Raw genomic sequence first — 10,105 nt, 5'->3', positions numbered from 1 at the left:
AAATTAATTCGTTTTCATCTTGCCTTCATCTAAAGTTCACCTGCAATACATAAGAAGTGAATAACTGCTAGCAGAGAAGGCTGTTCTTGTCTGTAACTGACCCACTACCATCAACCCTGGTTTTGAGCTGCTTGCAGCACCAGCTATTGGCTGTGTAAAAAATCTCACAATGATGCTAGACTGTTTGACTGAAACATATTACAAAGACAAAGCAATAACTAGTGAATATTTTAAATTATAAAGCAGTTTTTGTTCATTAATCACACTTTAGTTTAAAATTCTATTATTTCATTTGCAAAAATTAACTTATGGGTTTTTTCTTTTTGATTAACTAGTTTACCATTTTGTAGCCATCAGGTATATAATTAAAACCATGTAAGTAAGAGAACATTATTTTTCAAAATAAGCATGTATTTCTTAACTTCTCTCCTATAGCTGGTTTTGGTAATTTACCACAGTGGGTTTTATTTAGTTGTATGTGAAAAAAAAATACTAACCCTTTAGAATAACAAGAAGCCAAATTTAATGCTACAAAAACTTTATATTTAAACTGTATGCATTAAAAAGATTTTCATAACCCAAACTTTGAAGTTGTTTCATGGTATTTTAGTTATATTATAAGAGAGGTATTGTTTTAAAAATCATAATGTGAGAAGAGAACATTTGAGTGCATTTTATTACTTTTAAATGTCCATATTAGTTAAGCAAAATAGGTAGCAATGTTGAAATCTTACACAAAACTGAAACTCAGACTGGGAGCCAATGTAAGTAAATTAACAAGTAATAACATGAAATTTAGTTGATTTCAAGAGAAATCTGAGGGTTAAGTACATAATTAACAACAGCATTCTGTACAGATATTTAATTGGAAAATGTGAAATTATATTTATGTTTTTCTCTGTGTGAGTATATTTTTTAGTACATTGTAGGAGTTTCTAGCTAAACTCATTACTTAAAAGGTCAGATCATTCTGTGTCCTGTGGGATCTATGTAGAGAGAAGAGTTTCCTTTTTGAAAACACTTTTTTTTTTTTGTTAATTTGTTTAACTATTGTATTGGAATAGTAAATTTGTATTTTCAAAAGAGATTTTTTAAAATAAACAGTATTGTTGTTAAACTAGCCAATGTTTTCTTGTGATTAATATATATTTTCAAATATACAAGAGGACATGCACTAAAAACTATTATCTTGCCACCAATATTATATTTCTGGTACAGAGATTTTCTTTGAGATATATGCACATCTTCATACAATTAGCTATTTTTTTTTCTTACAGAAATGATCATATTTCTGATCAAAGTAAAAAAATCTTTTGAAAATATATATTTACTATTCTAATACAATAGTTAAACAAATTAACAAAAAAAAGTGTTTTCAAAAAGGAAACTCTTCTCTCTACATAGATCCCACAGGACACAGAATGATCTGACTTTTTAAGTAATGAGTTTATATACAATATGGTTAACCTTGTTTTGTACTTAGTCACACGCCTGTCAATACAACAAGATCTATTTAATTCTGTTTTGTAGCTACATAACTTGCAGTTCAATGTGCTCTAATTTATGTAATCCATCTCTAAGTTGGATTTATGTGTAAGTCATATTCAGTTTTACAAAAAGTAGCATTTACAATTTTCACAGGTATTTTAAAGACAACTTCTAATTGACTTCTTCTCACAATAAAACTATGAACATAGATAAAACAATTATCACTATTAGCTGAGGAAGAAAGTGATATTTATGTGAAGATTATAGTTTTTATGAGTCAGAACAATAATGTAAATGTAGTGCTCAATTAAAACTGAGAAAACTCTAAAGTTCTATTTATGTAAAGATCTGATTAAAATGTATTGAATACATTTAAGTGCAAAAGTTTTTTAATATGTAAATTTGTAATGATTAATGCTAAGTCTGTGTAACACATTAGAATTTAATATTATACCATCATGCATGACCTTTTCTAAGAAAATTGTTACAGAAGCAATGTCATTAAAAATGTGGACTTAAGAAGTCTGTGGTTAATAATTCTGTGATCCAGCAACTATACATAATCCCAGTCATCAGAAACAGTATTTCTACAATTGAAAACACAGTTAGTGATGAACTCGATGATCGTTCAAAGATGAGAAACAAAATTGTGAAGTAAGTTTTAATTATCATTTTTTGAATATTCTCATAGTAGATACTGTTGTTCTTCCTCAAATTAGTATAGTTTCATGAGGTTTTATCAGGACTGCATTTTGATGATATGGCTATAATATCTGAGATACTATGACTGGCATATTTATTGTGATCACTATCTAGTAAGTTGAAATTTTAGTTAATAATATTTATCAATGTTTTTTGTTGTTTTCAAAGCATGGTTGATATAATCACATTTGCACAACATGGTAAATGCAATTCATTCTTTGGATAATGAGAAATTTTTGTTTTTAATAATTATATTTTCATCTTGTTTTATAAAGTAGGCTTTTTTACTGTTCTATCTGTGTTATATAAGTTGTGCTTATTTTTAGGATTCTCTAAATATTTTTCTCAAATTAGGGTTTTTTCTGCTAAGGAAAAAAATTGATTTTCAGATAATGCTACATGGACCTGTTAGCAACATGACGTAACTATTACAATCAGGCTGCTAAGGGTATAAATCATCTGGTTGAAAATAAAAAGTATCTGGTTGAAAATAAAGCAGCAAAAATATTAGGTTTTAGTGGCAGATTACATATTTAAGATATAGCTATTAAATAAGTGAATACCAAAAACTTGAATTTTGGAAATGTTTGTACTCAAGTAGTTCCTTTACTTTTTGCATAGGTATTGATAGAAACTAAATAAAGAAATTAGAATATTTTAATTGTAATAAATCTTAAATTTCTACATTTCTCTTCCTCAGTGATCAGAAATAGTTTGGTTTTCAAATAGCATCTCAGCATTTATCATTTATGGAGATTAAAAACACACTTGCCTCTCCCTTTCTAGATCTGATAGATCACACCACGCAGGCATTAAAACCTTGGTAGCATTTCTTTTAGTAGAATGTCCATATGGGACGTTCGCTAACACTTGGTTAATAGTCACTAATAAACAACAACAACAACAAAAAGTAAAATTTAGTTCCTTGTACTGTAATCAGTTTTACCCCTAGGGTTTTGAATTTAAAACAGATAGAGATGGTTAATTACACTGGCAAGAAGTGAATGAGGCAGACAGAATATAAAATTCAAATTAAATCCCCACCTTTGTGCTTCATTGCTTGTGCTTTATGATGTCTTAGCGCTTTACTGTGGCTGCATGTCTGCCTAGCTGCTTTTTCTATACAATGAACTTCATCAGGGCACAAACTGGATATTGTTCATTATTGTATCAAAAACCTCAGATGTAGAGAAAAACATACAGAAACATGAGAGATATGTGTAAAACAACTGTATTTTGCTCTGTAGCTATAAGGAAATTATGACCTTTGGCGTTCCTGTGTGTGCTCTCATTCCTTCCACAACTACTCTTAATAGCTGTACTTATTGTGCAGTAATAATTCCAAATACATCACATAAATTATATCATGAAATCTGTAAAAATGCATTAAAATCACAAGAAGACACTGAATTCTAGGAGAACAAAGTATCTTATTCCTCATATGGCAGAGCACTGATTTGTTTTTAATCTGTCTACTCAACAACACTGTAGTATATTTTATTACCTGCAATATATGCTATTGTTTTATTATTGCTAAGGATAATTTTTCTGTGATCTCTTTCTGATGGTCCCCCTGTGAAATAATCACTAATCCTAAACATTAAAAACAATAAGTTCTTTGAAAATAATATTAAAACATGCATATCATCTTATTAACTAAGTTTTGGTATTTATTTCAACTTCTTTTATTATATTTTAACGTTAGATTAGTGCATCACCAATGTATTTTGGTTTCTATAGCAATGCTCATCTCCAAAATGATGTACGTAGTTAACGTCATAAATTTAAAGATGAGCCCACATTAAACAAGATAGAAGATAGGAAAGAGAACAATATTCGTGTCCAAAGACACCTTCAAGCCTCTTTTACATTTAGTTGCCTTCTGACTAAAATACTATGTACTGAAAATTTTTTGGAAACACTTCAGGTAAATTATGGGTGATTTATCAATTTAATTTTGATAAAATCGTCTGTACATTAAATTTTTTAAATAGATCTTTAAAATACATAGTTTATTTGGCATGTAATATTTAAAAAATAGTAATATCCTAGCTGCATTTCTTGATCATTTTTATTATTGTCATACTAATAGAAAAAGGTTAAAATTGTCACAGCAAAGACAGGCCACTGTATTCTTTCATCTCTTAAGGTATAATTGACTTCTTATAGGAAGATTTGTAATCTATATAATCAAAATATTAAAATGAAGTCATCTCCTTGATTTAACAGTTCTCAAATGAAGCAAATGTCAAGTACATTTTTTAAGTGTACAGATATTTTAATACATCCCTAAAGTTTTTTCAAAAATATATGACCAGGGTACTGTTATCACACATAATACAAATTATTTTACAACCTTGGGCAACGTAGAAAACCCTGCCTCTATGAAAACAAAACAAAAATTATTCAGGTGTGGATATATGAGCCTGTAGTATCAGCTACTTGGAAAGATAAAATACCATTTATTTGACTAACTTTGATATTTGATTACACTTTCCTCATTATACTGTTCAATTTAGACTAGCACATCAATGATGTCTTTTAGTTTCTAGAGTAATGTTTATGCCTGAGATTATGTATAATAATCACCTCAGAAATCCATATTACTCATCATCAAATAAGCATTTTTATTATCAAATAAACCTTTTAATCACTGACAAAAAAGTACTGCTTCCTAGTCCTGCAAGATAAAATATATATGATATACTTTTATATAAATATATAATCTATAACTTCATGTAATATACACATAATTTTTGCAAGCCTGAATGTAATCTCATAGATTTTGAGCCTCTTACAAAAGTGACCAATAACACTTGGTCCGTGTTTAGATTTGAAAAATCTCAACTAGGCCAGGCCCTGTCACTCACATGGATAGCCTTAGCACTTTGGGAAGCCAAGGGAGTCAGATTACTTGATTTCAGGAGTTCAAAACCAGCCTGTGCAACATGGTGATATCCCATCTCTACTAAGATGCAATAAATTAGCTGAGTGTAATTGTCTGCACTAGTCCCATCTACCCGGGACACTAAGGCGAAAACATCACCTGAGCTGTAACCGTGTTGCTGCATTGCAGACTGAGTAATGAAGAGAAGCTGTGCCACACAAACACACACAACCACACATGCACACAAAACCACACACACACACAGAGAAAGAGTTTAGTGTTCTTTCAAGAAGGTATTTCTTAGATAGCTCAGAGGTAGGAAGAAAAAGGGATCTTCTGATTTCTGGGCTGTCTTCTGTTTTACTCACAGTAGTTCCCTTTCTATGTATTAGCATATCACTTAGATTTCCTTTAAAAGTCTTTAGTGCACGTGTAATTAACTGACTGCCCATTATAGCTTTCAGTAAAAGTTTCCAAATTTCATAGCTAAACTGTAAACCTAGGTTATAAATATGATTTGCATATATAATTCTAATTTACATATTTCAATTCTTTATCTGCACACGTCCCTCACTCTCATTTTTTCTTGTGTCAACAATTTATTTTCATTAGCTTTCTCTACTCAAAACATTTCTTTTTCTGCAATCTAGTCAACATTTCTGTTCTTGTTCTCTCAAATTATTATAACTCTTTGAGCTTCTGTCTTCAAAACTTTCACTCAATAATTTATGTGTGCATGCATCTATATGTGATCATCTGCTATCACTTGGCACCAGGGCCTGTTTTTGTGAAAGACAAGATTTTCATCAACTGGGGTTGTGGAGACAGTTTTTGGAAGATTTGAGTACCCTCCATTGATTTTGCGCTTTATTTGTCTTATTATTACATTATAATATTTAACAAAATAATTATACATCTCACCATAATGTAGACTCAGTGGGAGCCCTAAACTTATTTTCCTGTAGCTAGATGGTTCTATCTGTGGGTGATGGGAGACTGTTGCAGGTGATCAGTTGTTTTGATTCTTATAAAGAGTGCAAAACGTAAATTTCTCTCAAGTGCAGTAAATAGTAGTTCCCTCGCTTCTATAAAAATCGGATGCTGCCACTGATCTTCAGAAAGCGGATCTCAGGCAGTACTGTGAACCATACTTAGTGTTTTAAATAGAGATAAGGTTTCCATGCTTGGCCACCACTCACCTGTTGATGTGTAGCCCCAGTTCATAACAAGACGCAGATGGATACTGATTAGGGAAACCCCAGCTCAAGCCAAAGAGTTTGAGACCACAGTGAACTGGAATTGTGCCACTGCATTTTAGCTTCAGTGACAAAGAACCTGTCTTCACAAATAAAAGTAAAAAATACATTTTATAATTTGTATTTTAAATAATATCTTTTGATACAAATGTGAGAAATCTTTTACAACTTTAAATGTGGACATGAACAGTCTTCAAAATCTTCTTCATTCTTTGGAACAGTGTATCAAATTGAATGTGCAAATGCACATCATTGTAAAATGTGATAAAAAGTTTGTTTTGTTCAGTTTTGAAAAAAATAATTATCTCATTGAAAACAACCAGAAGACAATTAGAAGTGTTTGTGCTCATCCACAAAATTAACTTCTGCTTTCTCTTTAGTATTTGCACGGTATCAGAGAGGTAGTCAAGATGATAACTGGCTTAAAGGAGAATGTTATTGACAAAATCGAATGACTGACTAGGAAAAAAAAAGTTATTCTCATTAGGTGAATAATTTGAGATGTAAAATAATCTCCCAGATTGTTTTCATCTCTACTCTAAAATAAATTGCATTTTAATGATTGAATCTTGAAGAGTTGGTAGAAGAAAGCATTATTCTTTTTCTACTATAAAAATCTCTTGAAGCAAAAATGTTCCTTCATTTTATGGGCTTCCAACAGATTTTAACGACCACTTGTAGTTTCACAAACAGGTCTCTTTCTTTAGGCCTAACCAGCTAATTTTATTTCTTCGCAATTTGACTAGGATATATAATGGTAAAATGTCTTTGAAGATATTATATATTAAATGACAGGTATGTCTTTCTTGACCTTCATAACATCTCACCTCCAAGCTGTCTGCATTATCTTGCACTTAGCTGCCATTTAAATTGTGGTTTATTTTTAACAGCATACTGCCTGCTATTTTCACCTCTGAGACTTGGAACAATTTCTTTTCACCCTGCCTGCCACTCTTAATTCACACCGTTTAAAGTATTATGTATAGGTTTTACCTTTTTATAAGACAGAGAGTCCAGCTTTGCCAACAGGGTGAAGCCCCATCTCTACTAAAAATATGAAAATTAGCCAGGTGTGGCGGCAGATGCCTGTAATACTAGCTACTGGGGAGGCTGGGACAGGTGAATCGCTTGAATCTGGGAGGTCTAGGTTGCAGTGAGCCTAGATCCTGCCATTGCACTGCATTCTAGGTGAAGAGAGTGAAACTGTCACACAAAAAGAAAGGACAGTGAGGATTAAATTTATTAATATGTGTGCAGCTCTTAGTGTATTACCTTGACTTTAAGCACTATAAGTATTAACTGCTATCATTATTGCTTACTTTGTATCTTCAGTTTGCTCACACCAAATTCTGCTTAATTGCATAAAAGAAAATATTAGAGAAGTAACACAGATAGTAGTGGCTATATGGAACCACATAGCCATCACTCTCTGTGTCAGTAATGTTTTCTGATTTGCAACAAATAAGAGACCTTTTGCATATAAAGGTTCTGCAAACAGATTTCCCTAGACATATATTAAAGTGTTTGAAAACAAAAACAAAAAAATCAATACTATGGTAAAATGTAACAAATTTAAAGTCATTAGAGTAAAATATCTGTCTACATAGCATTTACATTTTATTAATTATTTATGTAGAGATAAAGTAAACTACACAGGAGGATGGGTGTGCATTATACTTACCTACTGCATCATTATAAAGCAGAAGCTTGAGCAGACATACATTTTGGTATTTGAGATGTTTCTGGAGCCAATCCCCTACAGATACCAAAGGATTGCTATATATAAATATGTTAAGCTTTGATAAGAAAGTATTGCTTAAGTTAGTTATGGCATAATTACCATGATGATGTTAATGATTATTTACTTACCTTTTTATAAATAAATTAAAAAGATTATAAGCTTTAAAATTATCATTACATTGTTTTTGATATTTGCTGGGGAAATGAGAACATTTGTACATGGGGACACATTCTCTGTTTATGGTATGGTAACACAATTAAGCACTTGCTATTTAAATAATTTCCTTTTTTTGTTTTGTTTTGCAATTACCTATGCTCCTGTCACCAATCTAGTAAGTGTGTGTGTCAGGGAGAAAATTACATTTATTTCTGGGATTGAGGACATTATTTTCTTGTTTATTTAAATCATGCTGAAGGGATGAGATTTTTGCAGCTGACACTGTGTAAGTTAGCAGTGTATATTTGATTTTCAATGGATACATTTCTCAGACTGGGAAGGAAGCACTTTTGGTCAGATTTTTTGTTGGTTGCTAGGAGACCAAAATCCTCTTGTGATGTCATTGCTACTCACCTTGGGAACATCGTGATGGTCTAGATTTCTTTACCTGCCTAGGCCTTCTGAAGCAGCATTTGAAGCCACAGTCTTGAAAACCATGCAGGCTGGAAGAGTAGCTAAAGAAATGTTTATTTGAGATGGCACATGTTTCTTCAGAAATTCAAGATGTTTCTCCCAAAGATTAGTTAACTGGTTCAGAAGCCTCCAGTAGGTCTCCGTTGCGACAGAATTTTCAAAGATCTGCCTTTCTAGCCACCTTTCTGGCAGAAGAGAAAGAATCCGATGCCTTAAGCAAAGCATTTAACATATTTCAGTTACCACTCTATGTAAAGTATGTATGTAATTTTACTTTGAACATCAGTAAATATGTTAATACATGCAACAAGACCAGATGTTGAAAATTATATAAAATATTAAGGTAGAAATTATTTATTTTTTTGAAATTATTGAGTTCAGCTTGAGCATCAACCTTTCAGAGTTTTCAGAAATGTTGCTAAAACTTTGAATCTTACCAGTGAACTCCAAATAAATGTATCAAAGCCACTTAATGTAATGTTGCTATTAATATATAACATGTTTTCACCTGAGGGCTTAACAATTTGAGTGCTTTTTTTTCCCAACAAGCACTTTCTTAAAAATAGCAAATAATGTTCATGAATTATTTGATGTCATTAAGTTTGTGTGACGAAAGAGAAATCTGATATTTTATGTGTTATGTTTGTTATTGTCACTTGTCTCCCGGTTTAAAATGGCACTGAATTACCTTTTTCTTTGGTTTTAGTTAAAGTTTTATTATAATCCAAATTTCAAACGTGGCTGTCCCCAGCATTTAGTAAGGGTGAAAAGAAGAATTGGTGTTAAAAATGCTTCACTTATACCTACTTTATTCAATGAAGATTTCAACAAGAAGCATTTTAGATCAGGAGCTAACATTAACAGTACACACTTTTGATCTTACATTAAAGGATTCCAACATGTTTGTGCCTTTCATTACCTCCTGTTAGAGTCCATGTTTCATGTTTTCTAATGCACATTTCCTTGCTTCTTTTTTTCTTTGAGATAGTCTTACTGTGTTACCCTGGCTGGAGAGCAGTGGCATTATTTCAGCTCACTGCAACCTCAGCCTCTGGGTTCAAGTAATTACTGTGCCTCAAACTTTTGAGTAGGTAAAATTATATATGCCCACCAAGCTGGGCTAATTTTTGTATTTTTCGTAGAAACGGAGTTTCACCAAATTGGCCAGGATGGTCTTGAATTCCTGGCCTCACGTGATCCACCCACCCTGGCCCCTAAAAGTGCTGGAATTACAAGGTTGAGCCACCAAACCCCTCCTCTAATACAGATGTTCATCACATTGGTTTCATCTATACAAAGTCAGATTTCATGGCTTTTGTCAGGATTTGATACCTTTTAGATTCTGAATCCATATCCTCAGCATGGCTGAACAAATCCCTTCCAGACCTAATATTTATTTTC

General features: G+C 32.0%; 2 pseudogenes; both read left to right on the top strand.

Moving 5' to 3' along the window:
• USP9YP17 (USP9Y pseudogene 17) lies at positions 1–8,359 on the top strand (annotated as a pseudogene).
• HSFY5P (heat shock transcription factor Y-linked 5, pseudogene) lies at positions 8,699–9,562 on the top strand (annotated as a pseudogene).

Source organism: Homo sapiens, chromosome Y, assembly GCF_000001405.40.
Source record: "Homo sapiens chromosome Y, GRCh38.p14 Primary Assembly".
NCBI lineage: Eukaryota > Metazoa > Chordata > Mammalia > Primates > Hominidae > Homo > Homo sapiens.
Note: the sequence above shows the minus strand (reverse complement) of the source record. Positions and strands in the feature narration are given on the sequence as shown.